At 34.0% G+C, this 16832-nt stretch overlaps 1 long non-coding RNA gene across 1 annotated transcript in view; it reads right to left on the reverse strand.

Annotated features, from left to right (window-relative positions):
- Window positions 1–388: 388 nt before the first annotated feature.
- Window positions 389–16832, reverse strand: part of LINC00536 (long intergenic non-protein coding RNA 536) — a 374549-nt gene continuing 358105 nt past the window's right edge. Inside the window, exons 11-14 of the long non-coding RNA NR_046215.1 lie at window positions 13671–14036; window positions 4807–4883; window positions 1341–1448; window positions 389–617 (exon numbers count right to left, since the gene is read on the reverse strand). This is a non-coding gene — a long non-coding RNA (long intergenic non-protein coding RNA 536). The remainder of the gene's footprint in view (window positions 618–1340; window positions 1449–4806; window positions 4884–13670; window positions 14037–16832) is intronic.

Below are 16832 nucleotides of genomic sequence, written 5' to 3' on the forward strand. Positions count from 1 at the left end.
TTCTGATACTAGAGTTACGCTCTTAAATACCATTAGGCACTATGGGCCTGCACCTGCCTGAGCAGTGCTATGTGCCCAGTCACTTCTGGATGCCTCTCCCAACCTCCTGATAGTACTTGCCTTATTGGCCTCATTGCACAGGTGTCTATGAGTAATAGCACATGTTCTGGATTTACTTTATCTGGGCTTATAGCGCCACCATTTTCAAGCAGGTGACATGATCAAGTTAGTTTCCTTTCATTGACTCAGCATCTTTGCCTAAAAATGAAGGTGAAAATGAGTGTGACCATCTCATAAAGCTGTTGTGTTAATATATGCAAAGTACATATATTATGCAATATGTACTCAGTAAATGTTCGTTATTTCACTTTAGAAGCCATGCTAGAAATGAATCTAAAATTTTATTTTTATTTAAGTATTCCATAATGTCAGATGTTGTTGGGTTGTTATTTTTCTTTCATATGCCATGTACTTTCTTCCAAATTTTACTTCCTTCTAGGCTTGACACTTCTGTATTTAGGTCAGGTTCCAAGTCCCTCCTCTTCTGTGCCTGTCTCACTCTGCTGTAATTAATGTGGTCATGTTAAGCATGATCTTGAGAATTGAAGAGATTAGGCCTAGAAGAGAGGAAGGAGAATATTCTAGGGTTGACGAAACTGGATTTACTGTATACCTATAGGATTCCGAAATGGAGAAATTATGGTAACAATGAGCTGAAGGCAGGTTTTGCCAAAGTTGCCTGAAAATAGTTTCTCTTCTACTATTCAGCCCAATGTGCTCCTATCTACTATCAGCAGACGGGTAGAAGGGAGAGGAATCATATACCATTTCTCCATATTTTCCAAGAAAACTTTTATCTCCAGACATACTTCCTTCCCTCAAGTTCAGCCAAAAATAGCAGATAAAATGACTGCATCATGATTCTTAACAGCCCATCAAAGAAAAGTTACTGCATCACTTCTTAGGCATTGGTTTTCAAACCAGTAATACACTAATTCTGGTAGACTCTATGGAACAGGAAATTATATTTTCTTAATGCTGTTTTTGCTTCAAAAATAGTTGCCATTCTTATCTGCTGACATAGGAATAAATGTGTAGAAACAAAGTCAAGAAAACTTATGTGCAATTTCCATTAATAGGCTCTCCATAGCAGGGAAGAAAGGACCAAAGCCAAGAACAGCCATCAATATATTTTTCAGTGATGCTGAATCAGGAATTGGTAATATGAGAGGTTTACTTAGCTTAATTTTTAATTGAGGATTATGATATTGTGGTTCATTTGGAGAAAGCTTACAGATTTCTTTTTTATTAATCTTAATATCTGTTTTTCCCCATCTTACACTCTCTGCTTATTTTCTTTAATGTCCAAATATTCTTTCCTCCAATCCAAAACTCAATTATTGATTGGAGCTGGATTCATCTGTCTGATATAGTGAAGGCTGCTTCTTCTGAACAGAAAAGAAAAATGGGGATAAATACACATCTTTACTACTTATACTGTATTGAAATTACAAAACCATTATAGATGCCATTAGAATATACTTCCCCAATTTTATTAAACTCCAGTAAGTGGTGGGCAAACTGTCCAGGGAATTGGTGGACAGAAGAGCATTATCATAATTTGATTACTGAGCACAGGATGTGTAATAACAATGACAGAATAAAAGAAATTGCAGCTACAAGGACATTGTTAAAAAATCAAGGTGCTCAATAGGGAAACTATAGTTAACAATAATTTATTGCATATTTAAAAATAACTAAAAGGATGGGATTGAAGTGTTAACACAAAGAACTGATAAATGCTTGAAGTGATGAATACCCAATTACCCTGATTTTATCATTATACATTGTATCTTGTATCAAAACATCACTTACTTTCCATAAATATGTATAACTATTACATATCCATAATAATTAAAAATAAAAAGCAGAGCAAATGATAATAATGCTTAAATATGCCTTATAGAAGATAACCAGTTTTTTTTTTTTCTGGAAAAGGCAAAACTTGAAGGAATGTTTTCCTTCAAGTCAGACTGATTCCAGCATTAAACTTTTAACTATCAAGCATATACTGTCACTGTAACATTGACCTGCATATTGAAACCTGTCATGATCTAATTTTGAAACGTAGTTTTGAAAAAGTGATAATCGATAATCTTTTCTATCCAATGTCCACACTTAAGTCCAATTTGTAAATCCATTTTGGTTTTACAGTGTTTATTTTTTCCATTGTCAAGTCAAATCCTGTCAAGGACATTGTCATTGAATCAACTGCTTTGAGTCTATCATCATTACATATTTGAAGTGTAAGTCAGCTGGATACCGAGAAGATAGATATGTCATGGACAGTTCAATTGCAAGGACACAGAAACCTTAGGCACCAAGCTCAAAGCCTTTGGTTAAGAATAACCAGTCCGTTCCTTATAGCTACACCCAGGTTGCTCTGTCTACTTCTTTTACTTCCCTGTGCAACATGCCTAAACCACACCAACTCAGATTATAAATATTTTTCAGATAAATACCTGGCAGCTGCATAAGCAGGGCTGGCGTGAGAAAATTATGAAGTAGGTCAACTTCATCTTTGATCCCCACCCAGCCTTTTTCTCAGCACCATTGTCCATGGCCCATTTCAGGTTCTATTTCCTTCCTTCCTACCCCAAGGACTGATGCTTAATGCTTGAGATACTTGAGACAGCCTCGCCTTTGCTCTCCTTCCGCCTCGTACCTCACATGTGAGACTTTACTCTTAGGAGCGTACTCTGTTATTCACCTTATCCTCAACTCATTCCAACACCAATGTCTTTCTGAGCTCTTTTTCATGTTGGCTGTACTCTTAGGCAAGGTGTTTCTAAAGTGGACAATTTCACCCAGAAGCTTCAGACTAAAATATTTGCAGCCACTATCCCCGAAGAAAGGAGATACTCTCTTCAGAAGAGTCTATCTATCAAATAACTCAATGTCTGTAACATGCCTATTTCTGATCCAAACCTACTGGTCAGGGTATTGGAGAACTCCAGTTTGTCAGCCCTAGGTGCCATTCCCCAGCAGGGAATGGGTAACCTGTAGTGTTAGAGTCACCTGAAGTACACAGAATAAGTGTTATAATAAAAACAGACTTCCATTTCTAAAGTAAGAATTAATGTTACCATAAAGAACAAAAACTTAGTCCTATTTTGCATATTCTTAATTATTTTTCTTACTTTTTGGGACCCTGTCTTTTTTTTTTCTCTTACTTCATAGCATCTATATTGAACATGAATTTTTAATCAAGGATAGGTCACTTTTAATAAAAGAGAACCAGTAAGTGTTTTAATTTGCCGTATGTCTTCCCTTCCATTTGGGTTATGGGCTTTCTTTTAGAGAGATAATGTCAGATCGTGCCTTTATCTTATTCTATTGATAAATAATTCTATTTTATTCATGAAAACTTAAATTTCTCATTTCACGTATAGGACTACATATTTTAAAATATTTGGAAGGCCAGACTGATAATTTCTGCTTAACATTTGTAAATATTAAATTAAGGCAACTGAAGTTGCTGACATTTGACTTTTTGTTTTACATAAATGGCAGTTTCTTATGGTTCAGCCTTTATATATTTGCCATATCCTTAGATATATAGGTATATCTTTTATATGCTCCATATGTTATATTCATTAAATTCTTACAGTTTTTTTTGTGGAAGGAATAAATTAATCAGGTTTAAGTGACTGTTGGTTTGATGATGAGTCACTTGTTAATCAATTCAATGATTAGAGCAGATTAAATGATGAGCAATAGAAAAACCTGCACAATAAGAACTGTTGTTATTCGACCATTGCAGATGATCAAAATAGGATTTAGCACTAGGGGCTTCTTCCTCTCTCTCCCCTAACAGCAAGATGAGAGCAATCATTTAATAACTTAATTTATCACTCAACACTTTATTACAATAATCAAAATTAAACAACTCTACGTTATGCTCGACTATATCAGTCAAGGCAAGTGATTTTCTGAAATTTTTGACACAGGTGTTTTCTGTAACTTCTGTAACGTATCTATTTTATTCTCATCTAAGGTAGGCTTTTTTAGTACAACTTGGCAGAAACAAATATTCCCATCCCCAATGCTCTCAGCTATGAGTTTTGTGCTGAATGGGAATGTTGTAATTGACAAGTGGCATATGCATCCACATCGCATGATATTGAGATTTAAAAAGAGACAAAACAATAATACATTTTAAATAATACATTATTTAATTAAGTTTCCTTCAATAATGTTAGTAAATTCAGCCCTCTACCATTACTCAACAGCATTTGAAGCTGCCTGAATATTCCACACATTTCTCAGGAGACAGGTTTCACATATTTCTTGAGTGACATGCTATGTACATTAAAGGCTAGAGGCATGTTAATATACAAAGGTATGTATAAATCTTCAGTTATGGAACAATAGGTTACTTAATAAGCCATAATATTTTCTGAGCTCATATAGACTTCTGTTTGACGTGGGGGAGAGAAATAATTGTTTTAATAAAATGTTAGGCAATAATGCTAGCAGTGAAGCTAATGGTAAAGTTCAAAATTTCAAAAAGAAATAGCATTTGTATTTTGACCAGATCATATGTCACATAGCATTCACAATATTTTTTAAAATATGAGTTGTTTCAAACTACAAATAGTGAAATTATACTTTTAAAAAAATGAGATGTTTTATTCTATCAAACCATGGCTTTGTTTTTATGTATAAACTGAGGTTTTTACATAAAAACTCAACAAATATCTTGATATCTTGTATCTTGGTAAATATTCAATAACTTACACTTGCCTCTTTCTGAAACTTTAACCTCTGTTGCAGTTCTTTGCTCTGTGTCTTACCCAGAATATGTAAGTCAATGAGTGTTGCTATGAAAGAAAAGAGAAAGAAAAGCTTTTCACTTTACAATGCTTGTCAACACACACAAATGAGATATATTCTGGAGTTTTTAGAGAAAAGGTCATGTAGTCAATTCATGCTTTGGCAGATGACCGTGTTGTTCCTGCCAAACAAAACTATTAATTTATTTGAGTGGAAATGCATCAACATGGCTAAAGAAAAGTACTTCTACCAGACATGGTGCTATTTATTGTTGTTTTATAAGTACTTACATTACTCTTAATTCGGTGCCAGGCATTGTTCTAACCATCTTACATATAACAATTCATTTAATACTCATGATCATCCTATGAAGCAGGTCTTGTTTTTGTCTCCATTTTATAAAGGGAGAAGTAAGGCACTGAAAGAGTAATTAACTAGACCACAGCGGCACTGGTAGCAATATCTGTTGAAGTACTTCGTCAAATCTGTCAAGGCATTTTCTCATTCAAACCTAATGGATCTTCATGTAAATCTCTGCTTTCTATTGTCTTTGTCCTGACCTTGAACTTTAGTTCTAACAACTAGATTTTAGGTTTGTGTCCTTGTGTATGAATCCGAAGCACGCTGGTTGCTTTTGGCCCTTTCCACCAGATTCATCCAAAAAGCTGGATATCTGCTGCTGAACTCTAGACTCAGCTGAAAACCAGGTACCTAATGGGGAACTGGTTTGGTTATTTCAGCCTATCACTTGGACTTTTAAGCACCATCTATCTCTGAGGGCTTCCTGTTTCCTCCTATCGGTCACTTCCTGTTAGACTCCTATCTTGACAGCTTACCTAAATTCCCATCTTATTTATGTTATTTTTCATTACAAAAACTATAATTAGAATAATGTAAGTAAATAATGTAATCATAATACATTTAAAATATTTTACAACATTTGACTAAGATTAGTTTAAATAAATGAAATGTTATAAATTAGAACTCTTTGAATAACATTTCCTAATTTATCTTCCTTCCCTACTGAAAATAAACCACTAAGTTGAAATAGATGCATGACATTCCCATGTATATTTTTTTCTAAATATGTTGTATCCACAAGAAAACTCTTGTACTTATTTTGAGGTTGTTTTAACTGTAAATAAACAGCATTACATTGACATATCATTTGACAACTTGCTTTATTTACTAAACATTATTTTTATTTAACTGCTGATGATTCAATTCCAGCTCATTCTTGTTAACTGATGTGTAGCACTTATCAGTCAATTATACCGTCACTTACTTATCCATTACAATATTGGTAGGCATTTTGACTATTTCTAAGTGTCTCTACCAAAAGCCACATTCTAATTAAAAGCTTATATCTACTTGTGCACCTGTAAGATTTCTCATCTAGCCTGTTGCCTTCAAACTTTTGCCTTTGTGACCCGTAGGATTGTTTAATCCCTTTGAATCTCTTACACATTTTCCAAAACTATACTCTAGACTTTATTTGGATTTCACCTATTTTTCCATTAATGTCCTCTTTTGGTGTCAGGTTTCCACATTGTCTTTAGCTGTCACATCTCCTCTGACTTTTTCTGGTCTGTGACATTTTCTCAGTCTTTTTATGTTTCATCACCTTCATGATAATGAAAAATATTGGCTAGATGTGCTTGTAAAATGCTGTGATTTGTCTAATGTTTTTCTCATGATTTGTTTGGGTGTATGGGTTTTGGGAAAGAGTAACACAATGACAGGATAAAAAAGCCCTTCTCATCATATCAAATCAGGAGGTGCATGGTATCTATGACATCACTGGTAATGTTAACCTTCCTCGCTTGGTTAGGATAGTGTTTACAAGTTTCTCCACTGAATAATTGTTATTTTTCCCTTTTCATACTTAATATTTTGAAGCAGGTACTGAGTACCTCTCACCTTCCATGGGGCAGGGGGAATTTCGTTCCTCCTACTAGATGGGGAAGAATTTATATAGATTAGATGGAAATCTTCTTACATGATTTAAAATAGATATCTGATATTGTTCATCTTCAGTTTAAATAGCTACAAAAGTTGCAGTTTGCAGCATTTCAAAATATTGGCAGCCTTAAATAAAACTGCTACATTATGTTTTAAAAGCTGTCCAATAGAATCCAAATATCATAGCCATGTGATACCCACTATAATGCATTTTTAAAATCCACATTAGAGTTCTTTTTAAACAAAAATTTTACATTATTATTAATTCTCTTTGAACTCAGAGTCCTATTTTAATTTCCTTAGAGACAAGTTTAATCTAATTCTTAAAGTATTTTATTGGTGCAGTTTTAAGTTTAAATGTACTTTTAATTTTAAAAGTATTTATTTTGATTGTAGGTTCTAATTTATTTTAAATAATGTTATTCTGGATTTACTTTTCATTGCAACTGATTTTAATAGACAACTGATCACAGCAATGGAAGCATAACTTCAAAAGTAATTATTTTAAAAAATAAAATTTGCTATAAGCTGTCATGATACTGAGGTTAAACACATATACAAACACACACACACACACACATGCACACACTCTTTGTCCAAAAGTTTTAATTTTGTTGCTCTTGTGTAATGTTCAATAAAGTAAAATAAAAATGATTTTAGTATTTCTGTAATTTGCATCTCAGATGGAGTATTGAATGTGGAAATGTCCAGAAAATAAGATATTTATTTTAAAAATACCATATTTATAATAATTATATAAATATAAAAATTTATTTTGTCCCTATAGCAAAAACGAAGTACTAGAAAATTTACTAGCATGTTCTAGAAAGAAGTTAGAAATTTATGATCAAAGGTAATCTTCAAAAAATAATTACAATATTTCAAATTTTTATAACTATAAACTATATCTCCTAAAACTAGCTTTATCTGAAATTTAAACTAGAAGAAGTAAAAGAAAATATAATTTTATATTACTAATTAATTTTGTTGGTTGCAAAAAAAGTGGTACCTTCACAAGTTGTTTGTGAAAGTGCTTAATAATTGGTAGCAAAATATAGTGATTAATGCTAAATCATTACTGTATTTAGCAAAATAAATATCATATAAAGAAATAGCTTTATAATTAATGATAATTTATAGGAATTAAATATTAATGTCTTACAATAAAAGTACTTTATAATATATACACTAAGATATCTTTTCATGGCAAGGAAAATAATTTAAACTAATTTGATAGGAATAACTGAGAACCGTTTCATGTGTAATGTTAGTTACTGAAAACTAAAGGCTCGAAACAGTGTGGGTTCAAGAATATTCAAGAAAACACAAATGGCTAAGGATTCAAATAATCTAAAAGAATTTGCTGTCTTTTATTTGGTAAAAAAAATTACCAAATAAACAGGCAAAAACATTTTGAATTTTGAATGAAGCAGTTAAATAAAAACTGAATTTAGTTTCATTTTAAGGATTTGAATTGCTTTCTTTATGATGTAAGTTTTATCTTCTAAACTTCTAATAAACTGAAGACTTTGATCTCTTTATTTAAGAGCTTGGAAATATAAGGATAAACAATTCATTTATGCAATAATCCCATATAAAAATTTAATTGTCATTGTGATAATTATTATGAAAAAAATATGCCTTGAGAGTGGTTAATAAATAATAAACACAGAAGGCCATGTCAAGTAAAACCTTAGATCATCCTCCAATTCCAAGCAAAATTTCAACCTAGTCTGGACTTTAAATAATTCAAGATTATTTTAGAATTAAATGCCCATGAGATGCATTCATTTTTGATGTATGCCATCCCTTAAAGTATGTGTTGTCCTATTAAATAATACAATTAATGTGATAAAAATGCATCTAAAAGTACAACTGTTTTTGTTCAATTAGGGGACTTGTTTATTTATTTATTGCTATATCACATTGTTTTAGAAAGGATTTAAAGAGTATCAGTTCAGATTAATCTAGCATTTTGTTATAATTAAGGCAAAATATTAGATTTTTGCATGTAGATGTTCCTGACATTCTAAATTAATGCAGTCTTTCAGATTTTACTTTTGTATTGTTCCACATAACCCTTGCCTTAAAGAAAAATTAAGGTTTAAATCTAAATTAAGAACAAAAGAGATATGGCTATATTTGAACTTAGCCACCTTCTCAATAATATTTCCTAAAAATTAGACCTGTCTTTACTGGTGAGAATTTTAAGTAGTTGAAACATAGAAAAAAACTTGTATTTTCTGGTATAAAAAATGGAATCATTTTCATGAATTTTTCCCTCAAAAAGATTTGAGTTTTTGTAGCAGTCAGTCATAATTTCTTAGACAAGGTCTATTCTGGAATAGAATAGAATACGATATTCCACATAGTTCTGTAATTCTGGCTCAAATCTACATACACACACACATTGTAAGAAAATAATTTCACCTGTGTAATCATGATATTGTAAAATATGCTAGTTTGCATTAAGTTAAAGACATTCTTTGCCTCAGGTGTGGTTATTGAATATAAGCTAATTTGGAGGGAGGATGGAGAAAAGATAAAGTAGGAATTAATTTGGAGAAATGTCTCAGTTACTTTTCAATTCTCTGAATGTGACTGAATTTTCAGACTATTTTATATTGTTCTTTGGCTGGTTTAAGTCAGACCAAATTTTTGCCAAGTTTCTTGTAAGGGACACTTTGAGTTTCTGAGGCTACTAACAACCACATTGTTAGGATTAGATATTTCCTAGAACTCCTTTGAAAATCCTTCTAAAGAGGGAACATGAATAAAGCCAGGGATTTCTAGGTAATGTCATCTTGGAAATATCCTTATGAGGTTACATGGTGGATACACACAGGCATATTGTTGTAGATCTTTTCACCCCAGGGAGGAAAAGGCATTCCTGAGTGTTTGCTGAAATTTCTCACACACTTTACTTTGCCATTTTATGCATTTATTTGTAATAGCACAATGGTTTTTAGGGCATTTAAGGTTATCTTAAAATATTAAAACATTTAGGAAGCCATTTTGGAGGGGGATATGGTGTAATATGTAAAATATATCTAAAGTTGAAATTATCTTAGTGCCAAGCTGTGGTTAATTACAAATTTTGAGAAGATGAATGGGATAGATCCTCTGACTATAATATTAGCCCCATTTATTTTGATGAGCTTATATGTGATTTAAGTATGAATTATGGCTAAATGCCATGTGTTCTGTATCCTTCATGACTGGTGTCTCTTGGACGATGTTACAACATTTAAGGGAGGAAAAAATAGAAGCATCCTACATCAAATAACCCAAGTATCAGCTCAATTCACTTTAGTATCTTAGCTTTATGTAAAATTCATTTAAAGCTCTTATTTCATACCTAGTAGGTAAACAAAATGATGTCCCAAGACTTCTTTGAAATCCTGGGGGCTAATGTGACCCAGTGCTTCTATTTCCTGTACCTGTGGTATTTCCTGTACCCCTCTATCTCAGGCTTATCTCAACCCTTTGAACTGAAATGTTTTAATCAGTTGTGCATTCACGTAAGGGATTTCTGGTAGGTGCATGCAGGTGTTCCAATTGTTATAACAAGTTAAAACGTTACATGTTGCATCTCTGTTAAATGGGTTTCCGCCATTCTTTCTGGGAACTCACTGGTCTCTCTCTCTCCCTCCCTCCCTCCCTCCCTCCCTCCCTCCCTCTCTCTCTCTCTCTCTCTCTCTCTCTCTCTCGTCTCTCTCTCTCTCTCACTCTCCAGAGCCTATTGTTGCCACATTCACTGAGTTCCTCTCTTTCATTCTCTAACATTTAATCTGTTTATACTCAATCTGTTTACCTTCACCCTTAAATGTAGTTTCTCTTTTTACATAGAACACTTTGCTATTCCCACTCACATAACCTAGTACAAAAATTTACTAAAAGAAAAGAAAAGATAGTTTCTTGCCTATCCATAGAAGAAACAATTTCCTTAGACCTAATAGATATTTTCTATGATTATAACCTATGATTAATTAGAAAAGCATTTTAGCTCTTAATCTTGAGTATATTTTATAATCTAAATGAAGTATAGTTCAAACAGGCTAACACCTAAGAATTTAGAGCAAAAAGCTTTAGAAACATGCTGATGAGAGCTAAAGCCTGATATAACCTTTTGACCCATTTTCAACACCTGAATATAAAAGTAGACTGTGATTTATCAAACCTCTGCTTGACACATCCAATTATTTCAGTTTCATTCTTAAGTATCACTCATAACATGAACTTAAACTCTTCGATTAATCATAACTTTATCATCATTTACTGTTTTAGACTCAAACTGACCCATTAAGCCCAGGTAGCAGATTCAGTTGTTGGCCTTCAAAAAATGGAAAAAATGTGTTGGTAATTTTGAGACTTTCATCAATTGCCTGTAGTTATTTTCAAACCAGTGGAGATACTGTATTTTTCATTTCTTCCTAGACACACATTTTTGGCATAAAATAGCTAAGGAAACCTTGTTTCTTAACTCCTTCCCACTTACATGCCAGATTCCTTGATCCAAAACTCATAAAAGGACCCTGAGGTTTTCTTAAAGACACAGAGTGTGAGTTTTGAGAGTGGCAGTGAGAAATTGTATTAGTTTCTCAACTTAGAATCTCAGAAAAAAAGGCAGGTTTGACAGGTATTTATATTAACCAATTATTTCACTTTTGTCCACTTTTTCCATTTTCAATTTATATGCTTGCCCCAAGTGTAAAACGTATGTTATTTTTGGCTGCCAAATTCTTCTCCTATCCCTTTGCACTAATGTCTCCGCTTGCTCCACCTTTAGAGTCTAATGTTGAACTAACATCAACTACAAGGGCAACAAGGCAACCTCTGAACTTTAGCTGTCAGCAAAAGTTGAAAGGAGCAGTAATGGGAGCAAGATGTGGCATGGGGATGCTGTGCTTGAGGACGGAGTCTCACGAGGGATGGCTGCCCTCTTCTCTCTGCAGAATGACACCCACTCTCCAATTCTTTCCACTTTTCACTGGAGAAGGAAAAACTTTAATACTCTGATGAAAAATTTGTCCTGTTACTTTGGAATTTTCCAAAGGTGGCAATGCCCTTTTATTCCTAGCCTGATCGTTAGCTGTGTTGACCTCACAGAGCAAAATCTAATATTCAGGGTTGAACATTGTAAGATCCCACAGTCACTAGGAGCAGAATCAATGTTATCCTTTGAAATCTTGGCACCTAGAAAAAAGAGCATGCCACAATCTTGCCACACATTGTGCACTGTTTATTTTAGCAATGATCCAAGCCATGCCTACCTTTGGGAGAGAGGAAATTATGTTCCCTTAAATCTCACATGGAACATTAAAAAGCAAATAAGTCTTCTCTTATTGTCCCAAATGTACTAAGAAGAAAAAGAAAACAAGCAGGGGGATGCATATTTTAATGATCTGCAAAGTAAGTTTCATTTTTTTTCAGCACTTGACTTTGTCCTGCCCAAGTGATAGCTTGGTTCAAACAGTTTTGTGAAGTAGCCATATTTTTACATAAAATACATCGCTAGTTAGATCAAAACACTTTACACGGCCTTTTAAAAAAATATTTTATTTTATTAAGTTCTGGGAACCTGGCCTTTATAAATGAACTCATACAGAACCTTCCATTGGAGGAGGGTATTGTCAGAGAGAAAGAAACGTAGAGAAGGGTTTATTAAACTTTCACACACTAACCTCAGGCTAGAACCCATGTTGTGATGTCATAGAACTCACTTCATTTCATACGAGATCATTTTTCTTACATTTACTACCATTGTGTTCTCAGAAACTTAGACTTTGATTTCCCCCCATCATGAATTTCTTACCACACTTGACTATTATTTTAAAGTATTAAACACTTGAATTTTAATTCAATTAGTGGATACAACCTTCTCTAAGAAAAAAGGATCATTGAGAAAATTGGTCAAAAGAACAGGCTAATCAGGAAAAGGATATTAAACATTCATTTCACATCATTGAAAATAATTGTTTCTTTATGGATATTATAGAAGTTTATCCATGGTATTTTAGAAAGCCAGTTTGCAAGGAGGCATGAAGTGAATTTACCACTAGCTTTTACCATGGAGACTGCATATGGCCAATTTTTTCTTTGACAAATCAGAGCTGAAATCACTGTCCTTGAACACTGCTAGGACTAGACACTCTGTATGGTCTTAGGACACTTAAAGGAGAAAAATAGAAGCCATCATTCTCTAAATACCAATTTGAAGGACATAATCAAACTGACTTCAGGAAACAGGGTCCTGGAGGAATCTGGAAGCAAAATATGGTGCTCAAATCAGTGTCAGACCCAAACTAACATAGCTTTGATTAAACACTATTAATTGAGGACTTACTGTGTAACTAATATTTGCGCTTGGAAAACAAAATGGGCATATGAAGTTTTCTGCACTGCAGAAGGCAAAACATTTTGTAGGTCAATTAAGACATATACGTAACTATAATAAAAGTACATATTCTTAAGTCCCTAGCATTTACCAAAGATATGTTACAGTCTTCTGAGGAGAAAAAGATAACTTCAATCTAGCGTGGGAAGAGCAAGTTTAAAGAAAAAGTGACACTTGAGCTGAGCTTTTAAAGTAGTTGAGATTTCAACAGATGCATATAGTGTGGGTAAGGAGGTGGAAATGTCATGGAGTAACCAGAATTACAATATTGCAGAGTTGGGAAACCACTAAAAGTAATGTTATATAATGAAAAATTCCACAATATTGTTGGAAATTTGGTGTGTTTATAGGCAAGTAACGACCAAGATGATAATGGTTGCTCTATTATCCTTGAAAACTTACTTATTAGTACTATTATTTGCTGTGATTTGAATTTATTAAAATATCAATCTCAGAGGTACTGCACAACACCCACCCGTATGTTCTCCTGATTTGAAGCATATTGGGTAACGATCTCAGACCCATTCAGATTGTCAGCTTGTTGGCATTCTGCTGTGAAACAATGGCAGAATGGGTGTGATGTCACTGTTTTTGATTTGTGGCATATCCATGATATTTTTCTCCTAACTTATATGATTGACGCTGTTGTCTGTGATTACAAGTTATTGCTCGGTCTGTTCACCATGCAGGAAGAGACTAATCCTCTGTGGTCCAATAATTTTCTTCCACATTTTGGCACTACCACCAACACGTGCATTGAGGTCCCCCATGACCATCAGGTTGTCAGATGGTAGAGCAGCTGCGATGAGTTTATGCACATCTCTGCAGAATTTCCCCCTCACTGGAATGTACGACAGTCAGGATGTTTGCATTGATAAAAGAAATAAATGGTTATTGGATGAGTCCACACACTGACTAGTCAAGTTGAAACAAATAAGCACTTGAGCACCCAATGCCTAAAAATCCTTTCCCCTAAAGTCTCATTTCCTCTCATCATGTGACTGTAATCACTAGGGAGAAGTATTCAAATATTTTGTTTCCAGTATGATTTCTCAACAGGAGTTCCTCCATGTTTTTGCAATTAACAAAAAGACCAACAGAGAACCATATTTTCATGATCAACTTCCCACTGTCTGAAATGACCCCACCCTAACTTCACTGCCATTTTGGAGTGCTTTACTATCAGTTCCAAAGGGGAAAATGAACGATTTACACTTCACAAATTCACTTATAATTGCAAATTGCAACTTATGAGAATGTTATAGCAATTTAGCAACAAACCAGACTGAATACTTCTGCAGACCACATTGGGTCGAGAAATGAGGCAAGTTTTTGCTCTCTAGGGAGAATCTTCAAAATCCCTGGTCCATGTTATGTCCATAAGATAGGCACGGAGTCTCAAGAGGAACAGCATTGTGTTCATTAAGGTGTTTATTTTATTTCTGTCTCTTGGACTGAGAAACAGGACAAAAAGCATATGTTAGGGAAATGGAAGACATTTTATAGCTTACAATATTAGGATTAAAAAGTATAATATTTATTGTAAAAAAGACTCCAATTACCATTTTACTGAGTAGAATCTTTGCAAGATGTATGCAAACTAAAAACGGAATTTCATCTTTAACTCATTATATTTCCATAAGAAGCCACATGGCCGGACTTTAAAACACAGTTCCATCCTTTAGTACAGCAAGTGCCTTTTATTTTTTGTTTTTTGTTTCTGTTTCAATCATAACAGCAACTTCATTCTACATAAGTCCTGATTTTAAATGCCATGTTTTAATAAATGAAAAATATAATTCTAATTGAGGCAAATAGGAAAAATTGGAATATAAATCAATTTTTAAAAGAAAAGAAATATGCTTTTGATTTAAAACCTTCTTCTGAAATGAATTTTCTTAATTTTCTCATTGAGAATATCCCAGATGCTTTCTTATGGTATCATGTGTAAAAGGAGATGATTTGGGAAGTGAAAAGCAAAGTCCCAACCTGCTAATGGCTGCTAATCTCTCAAGATTTTACTATATGGTCCCTTCCCATAAAGCAAATTTACTGAGGAGGAAGAGAACAGAATGCCAACTGAAGCTATAAATATATAAAGCTTCTTTTTTAAAAAAGTAGAGGAACTGGTCTTTCCTTGCTTTTCTGAGCAGAGAAGGAAGCTTTTCAGATCTTCAACGTTCTTAGTGAAGCCAGGGTTTTCAAGGAACTCACCTGTGCACAAGACTTCTGCATACAACCTCTGTGGAAGTCTTTTGCTCGCCAGCCTTGCTTATAGAACAACTCATTGGTCCACATGCAGCTGTGCTCAATGAGCTCCTCTTTTTTGCATAGGGTACTGACTAGATTACAAAATCTGTAGCTCAATTGTTGGCAAATTGCTTTTGTAAAGGGCCAAATAGTAAATATTTTGACTTTGCAGGCCATATAGCTTCTGTCACAACTATTCAACTCTGTGAACGCAGCCATAGATACTATGCAAATGAAGAAATGTGCCTGTGTTCCAATAAAACTTTATTTACAAAAACAAATGGCAGGCCATATTTAAGGCATAGTTTACCAACCCTAGTTTAGTCCAAGAAAACCATGTTCTGCCCATGCATCCAAGCATACAAATATACACATACTCAGGGAAAACACATGTATTCAAACTCATGCAGATGTGAGCTGAGCTAGCCAACACAGAAATTCTTTTGCTATCTAAAATTGGTTTCCTCTCCAAGCTGGTCAAACTGCAATGTTTAGATTCAGGCAGTTTTTGAACTATGTGGTTCTTTCTGGGCATTAAGATAGAAAGAAATGAAAGAGGCTGTGCAACTGTGGTCGGAAAGAAAAAGGAGGTTTTCTTTCCCCTGTGCCCAAGAGAATTGGCACAATTATTTGTTTCTCTCTTAAAATGTCAATATGATTTAGAAATGCATGTTTAATCAGGAAATTAAGTTATCTTAGAAAGGAATTGCTAATGGATATTCTGTCAGAATCCTTACTGCCATTATGAAATGGGATAGAACTGCTCCATTCAGCATTTTTTATACCCTCATTAGTCTCACCTACTAAGTCTTACTAAATTTTTTTATTTTTATTTTTCTCCTCATTGCTAATTCTTTAAAAGGAGTTAATACCCTGGCCAGATGTCCCTTTCTTATGTTATTTCTTCTAGGTAAAAGGGATTCAAAGGATAATAGTTTTCAGCTCTTTTTTCACCCTTAAACTTCAAAAATAAAAGATGATATGGGTTTAATGATCATCAACAAATCAGAGGCATATTCTGCTTCTGTGAGCTGAAGAGACCCACAGAAGAGGCAATGTGTAGCAGGCAGGAAGTACTGGAAGGCTGTGCTGGAAACCACTTTCCTGCAATTGCAAAGTCCAGGTTAGGGAAATCTCCTGAGTCTTAGTGTTGATTTGTAACTGTTGCCTGGTCCTTTGGAATTCCATAGGAATCTCTCCACTAGAGAGCTTTCAGATGGGCACTTACTCAACTCAGTTATGCTTTGGCTATATTTTCTAGAATCTAAATGGAAAATAATGCTATAACTGAAGAAGACTTCATAGCTCAATTAATCCAGTGGTTGTCAAACCGGGTTGAGCATCAATGACTTGCAAATGTCTTTATTTAAAAATTAAGATTTTCAGG

This window comes from Homo sapiens, chromosome 8 (genome assembly GCF_000001405.40).
Source record: "Homo sapiens chromosome 8, GRCh38.p14 Primary Assembly".
Taxonomy (NCBI): Eukaryota; Metazoa; Chordata; class Mammalia; order Primates; family Hominidae; genus Homo; species Homo sapiens.